This window comes from Homo sapiens, chromosome 17 (assembly GCF_000001405.40).
Source record: "Homo sapiens chromosome 17, GRCh38.p14 Primary Assembly".
Taxonomy (NCBI): Eukaryota; Metazoa; Chordata; class Mammalia; order Primates; family Hominidae; genus Homo; species Homo sapiens.
Window position 1 is genome coordinate 37,947,978 of NC_000017.11, and position 20,166 is coordinate 37,968,143.

The following is a 20,166-nucleotide window of genomic DNA, read 5'->3' on the forward strand; positions in this document are numbered from 1 at the left end:
ACCACCTTGAAAGCCTCACTTCTTAACATCATCACATTAGGTCTTAGGTTATAACATGAATTTTGGAGGACTCCAGAAAAAAAAAGTGAAAGACAACCCACAGAATGGGAGAAAATACTTGCAAATTATGTACAAAGTAGGCTCACTTTATTTGTGGAAAATATGTAGCCAGACACAGTGGCTCATGCCTGTAATCCCAGAACTTTGGAAAGCTGAGGTGGGAGGATCACTTGAGCCCAGGAGCTCAAGACTAACCTGGGCAACATAGGGATACCCTATCTCTACAATAAATAAATAAAATTACCCAGATGTGGTGACATGTGCCTGTGGTCCCAGCTACTTGGGAGGTTGAGGTGGGAGAATCACGTGACCCCAGGAGGTTGAGGCTGCAGTGAGCCAAGATAACATTAATGTATCCCAGCCTGGGCGATAGACCGAGACCTTATCTCAAAAAAAAAAAATATATATATATATATATGTATATATTTATCTATCTACCTATATATTCATATATAGATATAGATTAATATAGATATATAAACATATATTTATAGATATATAGATACATAAATATATAGCTATATATAAATATATATTTATAAATATATAGATATATATGTAACAAAATATGTTCCAAGACCTCCAGTGTATACCTGAAACTGCAGATAGTACCAAACTCTATATGTACTATGTTTTTTTCCTATACATACATACATACCTATGATGAAGTTTAATTTATAAATTAGGCACTGTAATAGAATAACAACAATAACTAATAATAAAAGAGAACAATTAGAATATACTTTTTGTTTTTGAGATGGAGTCTTGCTCTGTCACCCAGGCTGGAGTGCCATGGCGCCATCTCGGCTCACTGCAACTTCCACCTCCCAGGTTCAAGCGATTCTCCTGCCTCAGCCTCCCGAGTAGCTGGGCCTACAGGCACCTGCCACCACGCCCGGCTAATTTTTGTATCTTTAGTAGAGGCAGGGTTTCACCATATTGGCCAGGCTGGTCTCCAATTCCTGACCTTGTGATCCACCCACCTCGGCCTCCCAAAGTGCTGGGATTACAGGTGTGAGCCACTGTGCCTGGCTAGAATATACTTTAACATAAGTTACATGAATAGTTTTCTCTGTCTCAAAATACTGTAATATTTGGGATTGCAGCTGCCCGCAGGTAACTGAAACTGCAGAGAGCATACGGGAGACTACAGTATCTGACAATGGACTTGGATCTAGAATACATAAAGAACTCTTACAACTTGATAATAAAAAGGATATAACCCAATTTTAAAATGGACAAAAGATCTGAACAGATATTTCTCCAAAGAAGACATACAAATGGCCAATAAGGGCCAGGTGGTGGCTTATGCCTATAATCCCAACACTTTGGGAGGCCAAGGCAGGTGGATCACTTGAGGCCAGAAGTTCAAGACCAGTCTGGCCAACATGGCGAAAACCCATCTCTACTAAAAATATAAAAATCAGCCAGGCGTTGTGGCGCATGCCTGTAGTCCCAGGTACTCAGGCAGATGAGGCACAAGAATCACTCGAACCCGGGAGGCAGAGGTTGCAATGAGCTAAGATTGCACCACTGCACTCCAGCCTGGGCAACAGAGCAAAACCCCACCTAAAAATAAATAAATAAATAAAAATAAAAGAAAGAAAATAAATGGCCAATAAGCACAAGAAAATACACTCAATTTCTGTCTTAGTCTGTTTGTGCTGCTGTAACAAAATACCTGAGACTAAGTAATTTATAAGTAAAAAAATTTATTCCTCACAGTTCCGGAGGCTGGGAAATCCAAAATCAAGGTGATAGCACATTTGGCATTTGGTGAGGGCCTGTTCCATTGTTCCCGTTCTCGCAGTGGCATCTTCACATGGCAGGAGAAGAAAGGAAAAAAGAAGAAGAAATGTTATGTGAAGCCTTTTTATAAGGGCATTAATTTCATTCATGAGGGCAGAGCCCTCATGACCTAATCACCACCTTGAAGGCCTCACTTCTTAACATCGTCACATTAGGTCTTAGGTTATAACATGAATTTTGGAGGACTCCAACATTCAAACCATAGAAACATCATTAGCCATCAGGGAAGTGCAAATCCAAACCATGTTAAGATACCACTTCACACTCACAAGAATGGCTATAATAAACAGACACATAATAACAAGTGTTGGAGAAAATGTGGAAAAATTGAAACACTCATATGTTGCTGGAGGGAATGTAAAATGCTTTGCAATGAAGTTGGAACTGCTTTGGAAATAGTCTGGCAGTTCCTCCAAAGCTTAAACATAGAGTTATCATATGACCTGGCAATGCCAGGCTTCATCATATTCCCAAGGGAAAGGAAAACATATGTCCACACAAAAACTTACACATGAATGTTCATAGCAGCATTATTCATAATAGTCAAAAAGTGGAGACAGCTGGGTGTGGTGGCTCCCAACACTTTGGGAGGCCAAGGCGGGAGGATTGCTTGAGGTCAGGAGTTCGAGACCAGCCTGGCCAACAGAGTGAAATCCGATCTCTACTGAAAATACAAAAATCAGCGGGACATGGTATACGTGCCTGTAATCCCAGCTACTTGGGAGGCTGAGGCAGGTGAATGGCTTGAATCCAGGAGGCGGAGGCCGCAGTGAGCCAAGATCACACCACCGTACTCCAGCCTGAGTGACAGACTGAGACTCCATCTCAAAAAAAAAAAAAAAAAAAGTGATAAACAGATAAATGAAATGTGTTATATTCCTACAACAGAATATTATTGAGCCATAAAAAAAAAGGAAATAAGTACTGACACATGCTATAACATGAATGAACCTTGAAAACATTAGGTTACTTGAAAAAAGCCAGTCACAAAAGATCACAAATTGTATGGTTCCATTTATATGAAATGTCCAAATAGGCAAATCCTATCCTAAAAGAAAGTAAATTAGTGGTTGCCTAGGACTGAGGGATGGAGAAAATGGGGAGTGACTGCTCATAGGTATGGTATTTTTTTTTGAGAGAAATGAAAATATTCTAAAATTGATTGTGGTGGCCAGGCACAGGGGCTCACGCCTGTAATCCCAGCACTTTGAGAGGCCGAGGCGGGCGGATCACCTGAGGTCGGGAGTTCGAGACTAGCCTGACCAACATGGAGAAACCCCGTCTCTACTAAAAATACAAAATTAGCCGGGCATGGTGGTGCATACCTGTAATCCCAGCTACTCGGGAGGCTGAGGCAGGAGAATCGCTTGAACCAGGGAGGTGGAGGTTGCAGTGAGCTGAGATCGTGCCACTGCACTCCAGTCTGGCGAGAGAGTGAGGCTCCATCTCATAAAAAAAAAAAAAAAAAAGAAAGAAAGAAAAAAGAAAAAAAAGAATGTTTCAGGCAAAGGGAAGAGAAGTGCAATGGTGCTATTTCAGGCAGAAGCTTGTCAGGTTTGCTGTGGTGTGGTAGTGTGGAAGGACTCAGTGGGAAGGAAAAGAAATGAGGGCACAGTAGTGGGCAGGGCCAAGATAAAGCCATACGCATACTGCTACATTTTTTCCTTGTCCAATATATTTCATTAAATGTAGACAAAACTTATTATAAAGACATAACTTTTGATGTTTGTAAGGTCATCTGTTATTTGCACTCCTTTTTTTTTTTGAGATAGGGTCTCACTCTGTCACCCAGGCTGGAGTGCAGTGTTGCCACCACAGCTCACAGCAGCCTCGACCTCCTGAGCTCAAGCACTCCTCCCACCTTAGCCTCCTGAGTATCTGGGACTACAGGCACATGCCACCGTGCCCCACTAATTTTTTATTTTTTGTAAAGACAGGGTTTCTCCATGTTACCCAGGCTGGTCTCAAACTCTTGAGCTCAAACAATCTACCCACCTTGGTCTCCCAAAGAGCTAAGATTACAGGCGTGAGCCACTGTGCCTGGCTTGTTATTTACATTTGTGATTTTAAAATTCCATGTTTTTTATCATAAGATTGTCAGGTGCTTTCTGGACAGGAAATGCCTTAATTTATGACTCAAAATACAAACAAGTGTAGGTGATCAAATGCATATCTATGTCTTCAATGGAAATATATATACATACAAGTCATTAACGAAGACAAATGAGAACATGAAATTCATGACCTATTTTCCTTTCCATCACCTAGCCCCCTAAAGGAGAGATCTTTTTCATTCAGAGCCCTGGGTTTTGTTTTGTTTCATGATTTGCTTTTTTTTTTTTAAAAAAATAAGAGTTTATTTATTTATTTATTTGAGACAAGGTTTCACTCCCATCAGCCAGGCTGGAGTGCAATGGCGTGATCTCAGTTCACTGCAACTTCTGCCTCCTGGACTCAAGTGACTCTCTTGCCTCAGCCTCCTGAGTAGCTGGGACTACAGGCACGTGCCGCTGCATCCAGCTAATTTTTTGTAGAGACAGGGTTTCACCGTGTTGGCCAGGCTGGTCTTGAACTCCTGAGTTCAAGCGATCCGTCTGCCTCTGAGTCTCAAAGTGCTAGGGTTACAGGAATGAGCCGCCGCGTGGCCAAAAGAGTTTATTTTTTAAAGAAAATTGACTTCTTTGAAAACGTAGAAATGAGGCCGGGCGCAGTGGCTCACACCTGTAATTCCAGCACTTTGTGAGGCCGAGGCAGGTAGATCGCTTGAACTGAAGAGTTTGAGACCAATCTGGCCAACATGGTGAAACCCCATCTCTACTAAAAATACAAACATTAGCCGGGTGTGGTGGCAGGTGCCTGTAATCCCAGCTACTCGGGAGGCTGAGGCAGGAGAATCGCTTGAACCCGGGAGGCGGAGGTTGCAGTGAGCCAAGATTGCGCCATTGCACTCCAGCCTGGGCAACAAGAGCAAAACTCCATCTCAAAAAGAAAAGAAAAAGTAGAAATGAGGAAGCGGCCAGCCTGTGTGGGGATCTAATCAAACAAATCTTCCCCTGATGAGGGTAGCACTTAAGTTGAAAAAAATTTGCCTATATAATAAATATTGCAATACTTTATTTATTTATTTATTTATTTTTCGAGATGAGGGTCTCGCTGTGTTGCCCAGGCTAGTCTTGAACTCTTGGGCTCAAGGGCTTCTCCTGCCTCAGCCTCCCCAGTGGCTGGGCTAATAGGCACACACCACCATGCCCAGCTCTACATACTGATTTTTTTTTTTTGAGATGGAGTCTTCGCTCTGTCGCCCAGGCTGGAGTGCAGTGGCGCGATCTCCGCTCACTGCAAGCTCCGCCTCCCGCGTTCACGCCATTCTCCTGCCTCAGCCTCCCGAGTAGCTGGGACTACAGGCGCCTGCCACTGCGCCCACTAATTTTTTGTATTTTTAGTAGAGACGGGGTTTCACCGTGTTAACCAGGATGGTCTCGCTCTGCTGACCTCGTGATCCGCCCGCCTCGACCTCCCAAGGTGCTGGGATTACAGGCGTGAGCCACCGCGCCCGGCCCATACTGATTTTGAAATTTAAAAAATCTACATTCTATATTCGCATCATAGCTTCTCCCTAATAAAATCTTTGTGAGTGTTTATGGGACTTATTCCCCGAAAAATCTGCAAGCAGCCTGGTAGCTTTATATACACAGGAAAGCCAAAGGACAAACTAGGAATTACGTCAGAGATGGGGAAAGACTAAGGATCTTACCCAAATCAGTTGAGAATCAGCCTTAAGTATAAATGGGCCAGGTGTTGGTGGCTCACACCTGTAATCCTAGCACTTTGGGAGGCCAAGGCGGGCAGATCACTTGAGGTCAGGAGTTCGAGACCACCCTGGCCAACATGGTGAAACCCCGTCTCTACTAAAAGTACCAAAATTAGCCAGGCGTGGTGGCACGTGCCTGTGGTCCCAGCTACTTGGGAGGCTGAGGCAGGAGAATCGCTTGAACCTGGGAGGCAGAGGTTGCAGTGAGCTGAGATCACGCCACTGCACTCCAGCCTGGGTGACAGAGTAAGACTCCGTCTCAAAAAAAAAAAAAAAAGGATAAATGAAGCACAATTAACATTTGTTAATTTTATAAAGCAAAAGTTCATAAAAATAAATATTCTAATTAACTCTCCTACATCTTATAAACACTATTACCAAACCCATTTAAGATTGAAGATAAATTATATCATGGCATGGGTAAAGATTTTCAATAAGGAGTTGCTAGGATAAAAGTCAAAATTCTCCAGCATAAATTCACTGACAGGGATTTCTGTTTAATCTTTTCAAAATTCTAATACCCAATTTGTTTCCTCTAGAGAATAACTCGTGTAGAATCATAACCTCTTTGGTGGACCTTGATTTTTCCATCTGTAAAAGTATAGAACTAGTTTTGACTTAACAGTCAACAAATGCCTACCCTCTCCACATCTAGCTGATTAGAGCGCCCTCATGTGCGCATTTGCTGTAATGTTTTAGAAATCTGAAAAAGACAATATTAATCTCAGCAGTAATACAATAAATAATGTCTTCATTTGCACATTTATAGCAAATGCTATAAATATATAGCTCCAAGTATTACTCAGTAAAAGCTAAAGGCAAATGCTGTAGTAGGTTAATCTTACTGTCGTTCACTATCAAACCTTTCATATGCCAATTTTATCCTAAAACAGTGAAGTTATTGTTTTGGTTTCAATTTTAATTTAATGACTTAAAGGATTTTTTCCCTTAAAACTTCTAAGTATTTCATTATAATATTATTTCATCATTAGGCTTAAAGGAAAATATGTGGTCAATTGAGTTGTTATTTATTATACATGATAGCTTGACATCATCTTTTTAGGGATGGAAAACAGCTCCAGGGACCAAGTCTAACTCAGTTTTTTGATATAAGAATTTACCTGTCGGCCGGGCGCAATGGCTCACACCTGTAATCCCAGCACTTTGGGAGGCCGAGGCGGGCGGATATAGGTCAGCAGATCAAGACCAGGAGTTCAAGACCAGCCTGGCCAAGATGGTGAAACCCCATCTGTACTAAAACTACAAAAATTAGCCAGGCGTGATGGCAGGCACCTGTAATCCCACCTACTTGGGAGGCTGAGGCAGGAGAATCACTTGAACCCGGTTCAAGTGAGCCGGCTGCAGTGAGCCAAGATCACGCCACTGCACTCCAGCCTGGGCAATAAGAGCAAGACTCCATCTCAAAAAAAAAAAAAAAAAAAGAATTTACTAGTTTGAATCATAACAATTTCTTCCTACTCAAAGAGACTACATTGGAGGAAGCCAAAACAGAAGCTTATTTATTTATTTATATACTTTATTTATTTATTTTTGAGACAGAGTCTTGCTCTGTCACCCAGGCTGGAGTACAGTGGTGTGATCTTGGCTCACTGCAACATCTGCCTCCCGGGTTCAAGCGATTCTCCTGCCTCAGCCTCCCTAGTAGCTGGGATTACAGGTGTGTGCCACCACGGCCAGCTAATTTTTGTATTTTTAGTAGAGACGGGTTTTCACCATGTTGGCCAGGCTGGTCTCAAACTCCTGACCTCAGGTGATCCACCTGCCTCAGCCTCCCAAAGTGCTGGGATTACAGGCATGAGCCACCAAGCCCAGCTTAGAGAAGCTTATTTTTTAAAAGAAAATACACAAAAAAATCAAAATCTCATAAGTCCAATTGTAATTTTTTTTTGGCTTTTAAAAATTGTTAATGCCCTCAAATATTCTCCTATCCAATCACTGTATTTTAAATGGCATTCCTCCAGCAAATATTTGTTGAGCCCCCACTATGTGCCAGGATTGAAATGTCAAATTGAAGGAGGCAATAGCTACTGAAGTAAAGCAAAAAAAAGTACTGGTTATTTTTCCTTCTATAAAATGACCTAGTAATAACCGCTTTACCCAGGAGAGTTGCTGTAAAGATCTAATAACATGACACATATAACCACACCCCTAAAGAATGAGGTGTTACTGCATGTTCTCACTCATAGGTGGGAATTGAACAATGAGAACACATGGACACAGGAAGGGGAACATCACACTCTGGGGACTGTTGCGGGGTGTGGGGAGGGGGGAGGGATAGCATTAGGAGATATACCTAATGCTAAATGACGAGTTAATGGGTGCAGCACACCAGCATGGCACATGTATACATATGTAACTAACCTGCACATTGTGCACATGTACCCTACAACTTAAAGTGTAATAATAATAAAATAATAAAATAAAAAAAAGAAATTTTGCTTAAATAAATATTATAATAAAAAAAACAAATGAGGTGTTATTAAAATGTTTGCAAGAGAAACCCTAGTAATTCCAAGCACATATTTTAGGAATGGTTTCTTGTGTAGAAAATCCTGGAATGTGAGGCTCTGCTGATTTTTTTAATGCATATTCTCTTCTTATGTATGCGGAATTTTTTTTTTTTTTGAGATAGAGCCTTGCTCTGTTGCCCAGGCTGGAATGCACTGGCACGATCTTGGCTCACTGCAACTGCCACCTCCTGGTTTCAAGTGATTCTCCTGCCTCAGCCTCCCGAGTAGATGGAATTACAGGCGTGTGCCACCGCACTTGGCTAATATTTGTATTTTTAGTAGAGATGGGGTTTCACCATATTGGCCAGGCTGTTCTAGAACTCCTGACCTTGTGATCCACCCACTTCAGCCTCCCAAAGTGCTGGGATTACAGGCATGAGCCACTGCACCTGGCCTATTTTTGTTTTTACTAATGTTTCAAGAGACCCGCTTTATGTACAGAATTCTGGCTACAACCTAACAAATGAGTTGCTCTGTTCATCAGTTATAGCCAATTTAAGTAATTATGAAAAGCTCAACAATACTTTTAACTGGCAATGAAAGCGTCAATAGCTCACATTTACCACCACAACTTAGGATTTCTTGGTAGCTAAATAAAATGCTTCTATTTTGTGGGGGGAAACTGTCACATAAGTTGAAATTCTGCAATGTTCAATTGATGAAAAGGTCTCTATGTTAAATCAAAGGTATAAATTCCACATCAGTAGTACATGAAAGAGAAAAAAAAAGCCAAAATTAAAGTGATTCATGCCCACTTCCCTGAGTGAACCTAAGATTTTACTAACAGAGATGCCGTAACTTTGATCATGCACACATCAAACTTGAATTTAAAAACATGCATGCACTCACTCATCTTTTATCTCTTATGTAATTAATACTGTAAGATTATATTTTGCCTACGTGCTCTATATTACTAATTTATAGGATTATTACTATTCAGTGTTGTTTACTTGAAACCATACTGTACTATACACAACTTTTGCATTCCATGCTAACTTTATTTTTTTAATTATTTTTTTTTTATACAGAGTCTCACTCACTCTATTGCCCAGGCTGGAGTGCAGTGGCACGATCTTGGCTCCTGCAACCTCTGCCTCTCGGGTTCAAGTCATTCTCCTACCTCAGCCTCCCAAGTAGTTGGTACCACAGGTACATGCCACCACACCCGGCTAATTTTTGTATTTTTGGTAGAGATGGGGTTTCACCATGTGGGCCAGGCTGGTCTCGAACTCCTGACCTCAAGGTTATAGGCCTGAGCCACCATGTCCCAGCTCCATGCTAACTTTAGAGCTTATTTCCCATCCCATAAGATACAACACTACTTGTGTTATATAGTGAGCAGTGTGGGGAAGAAAAGCATAGAATTAAGTTAGTGACAAATCCAGTGAACTCAAAAAGAGGGAAAAAACCACTCCCAAACAATTGTTTTCCCCATATTCTATTCTCCCTAGAGGTATTCCATACAGGAACGACAAAAGAAAAAAAAGCATACAAAATGAGAAAGATGTTCATGTGACATATAAGTACAGTAATAAAATCAACAAGCATATATGGTATTTAAGCAAAATAGTATGTATGCATTGATGGTCATCTGATATAAATCCATCATTTCTGTTGGCCAACATCTAAAACCTTTACTTTTCTGAGGAGACAAGCTATAAATCTATACGGATATTTCTACAACGAGAATTCACTATTACATATGAACCAATATAATTTGATGTCAAATATTCACAATTAGGTTGAAAAAATCCCCTACTTGGCCGGGCGCAGTGGCTCATGCCTGTAATCCCAGCACTTTGGGAGGCCAAGGCGGGTGGATCATGAGGTCAAGAAATCAAGACCATCCTGGCCAACATGGTGAAGCCCTGTCTCTACTAAAAATACAAAAATTAACTGGGCGTGGTGGCAGGCGCCTGTAGTCCCAGCTACTCAGGAGGCTGAGGCAGGAGAATCACTTGAACCCAGGAGGCAGAGGTTGCAGTGAGCTGAGATCGCGCCACTGCACCCCAGCCTGACGACAGAGTGAGACTCGGTCTCAAAAAAAAAAAAAAAAAAATCCCCTACTTATGTTAAGAGTACCAAAAATAGGGCCAGGAATGATGGCTCATGCCTATAATTTTGGCACTTTGGGAAGCCGAGGTGGGAAGATAGCTTGAGTCCAGGAGTAAAATAGTGAGACTCTGTCTCTACAAAAAAATAAAAAATTAGCTGGATGGGGCACACACCTGTAGTCCAGGTACTCACGAGGCTGAAATGGGTGGATCACTTGAGCCTGGGAGGTCAAGGCTGTAGTGAACTGTGATCACACCACTACACCCTACACCCAGCCTGGGCTACAAGGTGAGACCCTGTCTCAAAAAAAAAAAAAAAAAAAAAAGGTACCAAAAATCTATAGCTGTTTCAGAAATAAAATACATGTAGTTAGTGAGGTTTTTCTCTCCCACTGCTATGACTTAATTTTTGGTTGAGATGCTAAGCCAAACATCATTTTAAGTCTGTGGCCCAACCAAAAAAGGGAATCATACTCTCCAAAGAATTGTACATTCCCACTCTAATTGCTAAAATAAAATGTTGGATTATGAAAATCAATTTTGTAGGTATCAATAAGTTATAAGAGCATGGCTTATTTAAAAAAAAAAGTGGGCCAGGTTACCTACATGAGCTGCAAAGCAAGCAAACTGAATTTTCTTATCGAAGAGCCCATCCTCATACTTAAAATTTCCCATGACTACATGGAAATTCTTTCACTTACCAAAAACACCTGATTGGCACTTTCACTGAGAGTTGTGTCATCTGGGCTGTCGACAGGTGTCTGACGTGTAAACTTGGAATCAAACTGACTTACATCCTCTTCAGATTGCTCTATACAAACAAAATAATTTAGAAAATAATGAATAGTCCATATGACATCAATCAAATGCACTGTAAGCTCTGGGAGCTCTTTTCGCAGGGGTTAACTATAATAAAGTATTAGAATAGTCTTAGCAGGCACTATTCTAATAGTGGAGAAATGCAAGTGGAAGAAAAAAATGCAAGTGGAAAGTACTGAGTCAAATTACATCTTCAAATCTTAAACATGCACTAAAAAAGATTTTAGTATACTGTTATTCCTATTAAAAATGTGAATATATTGGCTGGGCATGGTGGCTCAGGCCTGTAATCCAGCACTTTGGGAGGCTGAGGCAGGCAGATCATGAGGTCAGGAGTTCAAGACCAGCCTGGCCAATAAAGCGAAACCCCGTCTCTACTAAAAATACAAAACATCAGCCGGGCGTGGTGGCGGGCGCCTGTAATCCTAGCTACTCGGGAGGCTGAGGCAGGAGAATTGCTTGAACCTGGGAGGCAGAGGTTGCCGCAAGCAGAGATCGTGCCACTGCACACCAGCCCAGGTGACGGTGCGAGAGTCTGTCTCAATGAAAAAAAAAAAAAAAAAAGAATATATCGAGCTCAAAACAAGCTGGAAAAAATGTGAATATCAATTTCCCCTCTCACAAAGCTTCAGTGTGCCTAGTCCACTGGCTAAATCCCTGTTTAGAGATAATTAATTCAGTTGGCTACTGCAGGTTTGTAATAAACCTGAAAAACTACTGAAGCAGAGTTAAAACATGAATAATACTGGTAAGATGCTCCAGTTAAAGTTTCTTCCCACAGCTCATTTCATTCCTTCAGAAATCTAAAGGAGCAAAAATAATTTTCTATTCCGCATGGGTTATAAGTTATATTTCCTTGTGAAAGTATAGTTATCACTTCAGTTCTAACCATGAGATTTATTTATTTAATTCCTTCTCTCTTTCCCAAAATATCTGGTTAAACTCTTGGGCCAAATGTAAGAAGTAAATAATAATTTAGAATATCTGACTTAATACTAAAAGATGATGACCACATTGACCTTATAATTCTCTTAGAGCCCAGACTGTGAACCTGCACTCCCTGGAGGAATGGCTGATTCCAAGTGTGGGGAAAATGTACAAGATAAGCATAGAACACCAGTTTCCTTATTTTGCTCTCTCGTACAACACCAGACAATGTGCTCATGTCAAAAGGACTCAGAACCCAACATGAAGATGCACCCAGCATTCACTGCACCCAGCATTCAACGAAGGGAAAAAACGAGCACCAATAAAAATAACTGCTAGGTGCGGTGGCTCACGCCTATCATCCCAACACTTTGGGAGGCAGAGGCAGGTGGATTGCTTTTGAGCTCAGGATTTGAAGACCAGCCTGGTGAACACGGCAAAACCCCGTCTCTACCAGAAACACAAAAATTAGCTGGGCATGATGGTGTACCTGTGGTCCCAGCTACTCAAGAGGGTGAGGTGGGAGGATTGCTGGAGGTCGGGACGTCAAGCCTGCAGTGGGCAGCGATCATACCACTGCACTACAGCTTGGGTGACAGAGTTAAGACCCTGCCTCAAAACAATAAATGAATAAATAAAAATAAAATAAAAATAACTGCGATGAAAGGAAACACAAATATGTTAAAACGTGTAAGTTCATAATATACTAAAAAAGAAAAAAACACACACAAAGTTCATTGGTCAATTTTGGAAGATGCTAGGGAACTAATTCATTATTTTGAAAACTAGGAAAGAATCAAACATACATCCTGCCTTTTCTGTATGAACTGTACCTTGGGTAACTAACTGATCAAAGAGTTTCTCTTTATGAAAGAATTCCAGCTAACAAAGAAAGAAGAAATAACAGTTAGAATAAAACCATTTCACAAACACCTGATGAAACTACAAAAGTAGGCCAGAGTTTCTCAACCTCAGGGCTACTGACATTTTAGGCCTATTAATACTTTGCGTTAGGGGGCTGTGCTGTGCTGTGCTGACTCTTACCCCTGAAGGTACCTATAGCATTCCCTCTCCCAAGCTGTGACAATCAGTGTGTCTCCAGACATTGCCAAATTACCCTGGTAGTGAAATGCTGACACAGGCAGTGACCACTAACATCACTAAAAAAACACACATACGCACACACAAGTACACATTATGCCTCCTGATCAAAGCATATGCGATACTGAGAGTGTAATCTGAATCAGATCAACCACCTAAATTTAACTACCAGTTTTTGGAAATTTGGGGAACAGATGAACATGGTCAATGACACTCTGGGGATAATATCAGCAAAATCAAAATTTGAGAATTCTACAGGACAAATGACCCCGTTTCTTCAGTAAATCACGAGGGGAATCTATAAACGAAAAGAGACCTAAGAGACATAGTAACCAAACTACATACAGACCTTGATTAAATCCTTACAAACAGGAGAAAAAAAAAAAAGAATGGAACAACAACAAAAAAAAAATTAGGTGGGGCAACACAGGGAGACCTCATCTCTAGAAAAATTCAAAAAATTGGTTGTGGTGATGCACCCCTGTGGTCCCAGCTATATGGGAGGATCCCTTGAGCCTGGGAAGATGAGGCTGCCATGAGCCACTATCATGCCGCTGCACTCCAGCCTGGGCAACAGAGAAAGACCCTATCTCAAAAAAAAAAAAAGAGAAAAAAAAAACTGGGGAAACTGTCAACTTCTTAGGTGTGATGATGGGATGACAGTTATGTTTAAAGAAGATGATCTAATTATTTTTAAGCTGGGCAGTAGGTGTATGACAGTTCTCCTCCTTACAATTGTTTGTTGTTTTTTAAAGTGGGTCACATTATGGGGCATGACCAAAAAATAATCACCATCATCATCCTCCTCCTTCTCCACCTACAGCCCAAGGAATGGAAAAAGAAACTGTTTTCTCAGATTCTGAGGTGGCAGAAAGACAATAACACACTAACTCATTTACTCATAAACATATTGTTATGGATTGAATCGTGTCCCTTACCCACCCCCCAGAAAATTTCGTATGTTGAAACTCTAACCTCTAGTTCCTCAGAATGTGACCTTATTTGGAAAGGGTTATTGCAGATGTAATTAGTGAAGATGAGGTCCTACTGGAGTAGAGAGGAACCCTAATCCAATATGCCTGGTATCCTTATAAAAAGGGGAAATTTGTCCACAGATATGCACACAGGTAGAACACCATGTGAACATGAAGGCAGAGATCCAGGTGATGCACCTACAAGCCAAAGTATGCCAAAGATGACCAGCAAACCACCAGAAGCCAGGGGAGAGGCATGGAACATAAGGTTTCTCACAGTTGTCGAAGAAACCAACTCTAACAACGTGATCTAGAACTTCTAGTCTCCAGATCTATGAGATAATAAATTTCTGTTGTCTAAGCCACCCAGTTTGTGGTACTTCGTTGCAGCAAGCCTAGCAAACTAATGCACACATATTCTATATTTTGAAGAAAAAATTCCCAGAGAATCATTTTTAAAATGGTTAAATTAAGCAAAATAAAACAAACCAAAAAAAGAAAAGTCCCAACTACCTGAAATATTTAATTGTCTTAGGAAACTGACTTAAAAATATCTAATACAGGCCGGGCGCGGTGGCTCACGCCTGTAATCCCAACACTTTGGGAGGCCGAGGTGGGTGGATCACAAGGTCAGGAGTTCAAGACCAGCCCGGCCAAGATGATGAAATCCTGTGTCTACTAAAAATACAAAAATTTGCTGGGCATGGTGGCAGGTGTCTGTAATCCCAGCTACTCAGGAGGCAGAGGCAGAGATTTGCTTGAACCCAGGAGGTGGAGGCTGCAGTGATCCGAGATCACACCACTGCACTCCAGCCTGGGGGACAGATCAAGACTCTGTCTCAAAAATAAAAAAATAAAAATAAAGAGGAAGAACGCTATGGAATTTGACTAGAATTAGGGCTAACAATATGAAGCACTTTGGGAAGCCAAGGCAGGTGGATCACCATGTCGGCCAGGAGTTTGAGACCAGCCTGGCCAACATGGTGAAACCTCATCTTTACTAAAAATACAAGAATTAGCCAGGTATGGTGGTGAGCACCTGTACTCCCAGTTACTCCAGAGGCTGAGGCACGAGAATCACTGGAACCCGGGAAGCAGAGGTTGCAGTGAGCTGAGGCAGCCTGGTGTCCAAGCTGTGGTGAGCCATGATCATACCACTGCACTCAAGTCTGGGCAACAGAGGAAGTCCCTGTCTCAAAAAAAAAAAAAAAAAAAAAAGGGCCAGGTGCAGTGGCTCACACCTGCAATCCCAGCATTTTAGGAGGCTGAGGCGGGCAGATCATGAGGTCAGGAGTTGAAGACCAGCCTGGCCAACATAGTGAAACCCCATCCCTACTAAAAATACAAAAATCAGCCGAGTGTGGTGGCATGTACCTGTAATCCCAGCTACTCAGGAGGTTGAGGCAGAAGAATTGCTCGAACCTGGGAGGCGGAGGTTGCAGTGAGCCAAGACCACATCATTGCACTCCAGCCTGGGCAACAGAGTGAACCTCCATCTCAAAAAAAAAAAAAAAAAATTTAAAAAGGGAGTATAGGGCCAGCCACGGTGGCTCACGCCTGTAATCCCAGCACTTTGGGAGGCTGAGGTGGCTGGATCACGGGGTCAAGAGATCAAGACCATCCTGGCCAACATGGTGAGACCCCATCTCTACTAAAAATACAAAAAATTAGCTGGACACAGTGGCAAATGACTGTAGTCCCAGCTACTCTGGAGGCTGAGACAGGAGGATCGCCTGAACCTGGGAGGCAGAAGTTGCAGTGAGCTGAGACCATACCACTGCACTCCGGCCTGGTGACAAAGCGAGACTTCGTCTCAAAAAAAAAAAAAAAAAAAAAGAGTTTAAAAAAATCTTTACAGAAGAATGACAATATAGAAAAAATACAGAAAAAATAGAAAAGTCTCCAATTTCTAATCACTATAGTAATATTTGATTTGGGCAAGAAGCAATCCAGATGAAACCATTAAGTAAAGATTATTATGGGACAGAATATTCACACTGTTTCTATCATGCCATAGATCACTTGTTAATTACAAAAGGAAAAAGAGGCTGAGAATGGAGTCTCACGTCTGTAATCCCAACACTTTGGGAGGCCAAGGAGGGCGGATCACCTTAGGTAAGGAGTTTGAGACCAGACTGGCCAACATGGCAAAACCCCATCTCTACTATAATTACAAAACTTAGGCAGGCATGGTAGCAGGCACCTGTAATCCCAGCTACTTGGGGGGCTGAGGCAGGAGAATCGCTTGAACCCAGGAGGTGGAGGTTGCAGTCAGCCAAGATTGCACCACTGCACCCCAGCCTGGGTGACAGAGTGAGACTCCTTCTCAAAAAAAAAAAAAAAAAATGCCCTTATTCTTAGGAGATGTATAGAAGAAATTAGGGGTGAAGTGCTATGAAATCTGCAGTTAACTCTCAAATTGTACAGAAAGAAAATTTATTAATGTTAAAAAATGTCAATATTCATAGATACACATATATGTGGGGGCAGGTAGAAAGGGAGGGACACAGAGACAAAGAAAATATGGCAAAATGGTAACACCTGGTGATCACTGAACTATTCTTGCAACTCTGAAAAGTTTAAAAAATTTCAAAGGTATATTGTTTTTGAACTGCTCGGGAGGTTTAAATTTTTGAATTTTTAAAATAAGCAATCAATTGTGAGGAAGTCTGAGAAGCCACAGACTTAAGAGATAAGATGAAAAATAAGGAAAGTAGAATCACAGTAATAAGAGGAACAGAGTTTCAAAATGCTGTGGTCAGTCAGTAGCTTCAATGCAAAAGAAAGTTAAATTAAGGACCAACTCAGTAAAGACAACTGGATTCAGCAACTGGGAAGTCAGTGATGACCTAGGGTACAGGAGCTGCATTGAAATAGTAGAGTTGGGCCACGCGTGGCCCACATCTATAATCCAGCAGTTTGGGAGGCCGAGGTAGGTGGACCTCTTGAGGCCAGGAATTCAAGACCAGCCTAGCCAACATGGTGAAACCCCATCTCTACTAAAAATACAAAAATTAACCCGAGACAGTGGCGCACCCCTGTAATCCCAGCTACTCAGGGGCCTGAGGCATGAGAACTGCTTGAACCTGGAAGGCAGAGGCTGCAGTGAGCTGAGATAGGGCCACTGCACTTCAGCCTGAGTGACAGGGGAAGACTCTGTCTAAAAAAACAAAAAATAGGCCTGGCGTGGTGACTCATGCCTGTAATCCCAGCACTTTGGGAGGCCGAGGCAGGCGGATCACGAGGTCAGGAGATCGAGACCATCCTGGCTAACACGGTGAAACCCTGTCTCTACTAAAAATACAAAAAATTAGCTGGGCGTGGTGGCAGGCGCCTGTGGTCCCAGCTCCTCCGGAGGCTGAGGCAGGAGAATGACATGAACCCGGGAGGTGGAGGTTGCAGTGAGCTGAGATTACGCCACTGCACTCCAGCCTGCGTGACAAAGCCAGACTCCCTCTCAAAAAAAAAAAAAAAAAAAAAAGACGTAAACTGGGTATGTGCCTTTAGAGGTGGTGCACATTTTTAGCATTATAAATGAATATAAATGAGTGGCAATTGTTACTTTGGTCCACAGATTTTTGGTATCTTAACTAGTTTTTGGTCTCTTCCACTAAAGGCATTGCCTGTTGAACCTTGTTAGGAATGTAAGTACTGAAGGCAAACTGCCTGGGTTTGAATTTTGTTCTGTCCCTTGCACCCTGCCTGGTTTCAAATCCTAGCTCTGCTTATTACGTTCTTTTAAGGGGATGACCTTTGAGCAAATGTCTTAGCTTCTGTTTTCCCCAGTAAATGGACACAATAGTTGCTACTTTGTGAAAGATTCATGTAATTGACCAGCGTTTACCAAGTAGCATCAGTGTTTAGTTTCAGTCATTGGTGATTCTGCAGTTGGACTGTGAGGGGGTATTGGGGTGGGGGGTGGTGTGTGTGTAGCACTTAATTGCAGGCAGGAAGGAAAAGATACTTTTGATAACCGACAGGCAGCTTTTCTCTGCTTTTGTGTCAAAAGGGAGGAAGGGAGTTTGGAGAGGGAAATGAATTCTCTGTAACACTAAGCTCTCTTCCTCAAAACCAGAGGTAGATAGAATGTGTAATAATTTACAGAATTTCTAGACTTCAACGATCTGATTTTTTAAATTTATTTTTATTTTTTCAGGTTGAGACTGAGCTAAAGTTAATCTGTGGCGACGTTCTGGATGTACTGGACAAACACCTCATTCCAGCAGCTACAACTGGCAAGTCCAAGGTTTTCTATCATGAAATGTAGGTTCTATACTAACAATTAACAAGTGTACTTCAATAAATTTAAACATTCTCAGGAATAGTTGACTTTGTTTCTTTTTTTCTTAGACATTTCATATTATTTTCCTTATTAAATATAACCAAAAATCCCACAGAAATTAACTGAGGAGCCTCTAAATATCAACAAAATTATCACTTGATAGACTAGAATTAAACAAGCAAGTGGTTCCAAGAAATGGCACGAGTGTATTAATCATAAAATAAAATTTCTACATGAAACATTCAGCCATTCTAGACCATTTCTGTCTGTGCAGACTCATCTTTTCCTGTTCTTTGCAAAGCCCAGCTAGAGCAAGCAAGTTCTTCCCAATAGGTTTTTCCCATCTCTGGTTGCTTGGCTGGCTGGGCTTCCTCTACAAACCCCCTTCCTTTCCCCTAAGCAGGGCCCGGTGTCCCCATCCCGCGGAGTTGACCTCATGAGGGCATCTGACCAGGAGTAGCTATTCCTGGTGCTATTGTCATTGTCCTGTTTCATGTGTGAACATGGCTGGCTCTACAGAGATTTGGCGGGTAGCAAGGAGGTTTCTTTTTGAATCTTCTTTTGGAAGTCAGACTTGATGAGGATCTTATGCCCACTTTTTCCTAGCTCTGTGGTGTCAGGCAAAGTCTGTTTCTGCAAATGGGGGTTAAGAATTCCTACCTCACAGCAGTCTTTTGATAATAAGATCTTAAGTGTAAATTATTCCACTAGAAATTGCACAGTCACTTTGGTCTTCATCCTGGAGGTCCACTGACAAGCCTCATGCAAACCTGTGGCCCTGTTCATAAAGTGTTTTGATCCATACTTTCAAATGGCCTCAGGAAGACCTTTTATAAAGTAAAAATGTTAGGCAGCCACATGATATCCATTGACCCAGTGAGGCTGTTTTACTGGATATAAGAGGTTTGACCCGGCATTTTGGGGGGCCGAGACAGGCAGATCACTTGAGGCCAGGAGCTGGAGACCTGCCTGGCCAACATGGAGAAACCCCATCTCTATTAAAAATACCAAAAAAATTAGGTGGGCATGGTGGCACATGCCTGTAATCCCAGCTACTTGGGAGACTGAGGCACAAGAATCGCTTGAACCCGGGAGTCAGAGGTTGCAGTGAGCCAAGCCGAGATGGCGCCACTGCACTCCAGCCTGGGCAACAGAGTGAGACTCTGTCTCAGGGGAAAAAAAAGGGTGAGGGGAGGGTTTGAAAAAATAGTAGCATGTAGTTATGTTTCTACAATATTTAATATATATAAGGATTTACCAACCTCTTGCATTAGCTGCTATCCCCTACAGCAGTTGCTGTAGGAAAAAAACATCAAGTTCTGAGCTCCTACTGTTTGCCAGGCATATTCTGAGATGATCACGTTGAAATCTCAGAGTTACCCTGCAGAGTAGTCAGGGTATCACTGCCTGACAGATGAAGAAGCTGAGGCTTCCAGCAGTTAAATGACTTACCCCAGGCCACATAGAAAATGAGTGGGAGAGCCCAGGTCTGTCTGTGAGGTATAATGAAATTAGCATAAACCCTCCACATTGGCGCCACTTGCATAAATTAACATATATTCTCTCACAGAAAGTATTTTATTGGGCATAACAGTTTGTATCATTTACCGTTTAACATTAGCCGTGGATCTTCCCACATCACATGACTATGCCTCATTCTTTTTGGATAATATGATTACTATTGAATGGATTTACTATCATTCACTTAATCAATACTCCTTTTGATGGCCATTTTAATTGTCTATTTTTTCCTTTTGCACAGATTGGTGTAATAAACCTGATTTTATAGTAATATTTT

The 20,166-nt window shown here is 41.8% G+C and overlaps 1 long non-coding RNA gene across 1 annotated transcript; it reads right to left on the reverse strand.

The window, feature by feature from the left end:
* Window positions 1-1,751: 1,751 nt before the first annotated feature.
* Window positions 1,752-14,223, reverse strand: LOC102723608 (uncharacterized). Its single transcript, XR_429954.3, has 3 exons — window positions 14,088-14,223; window positions 10,967-11,074; window positions 1,752-1,876 (listed from the first exon to the last, which is right to left on the reverse strand). It is a non-coding gene; the product is annotated as an uncharacterized LOC102723608 (long non-coding RNA).
* Between the last annotated feature and the right edge of the window lie 5,943 nt (window positions 14,224-20,166).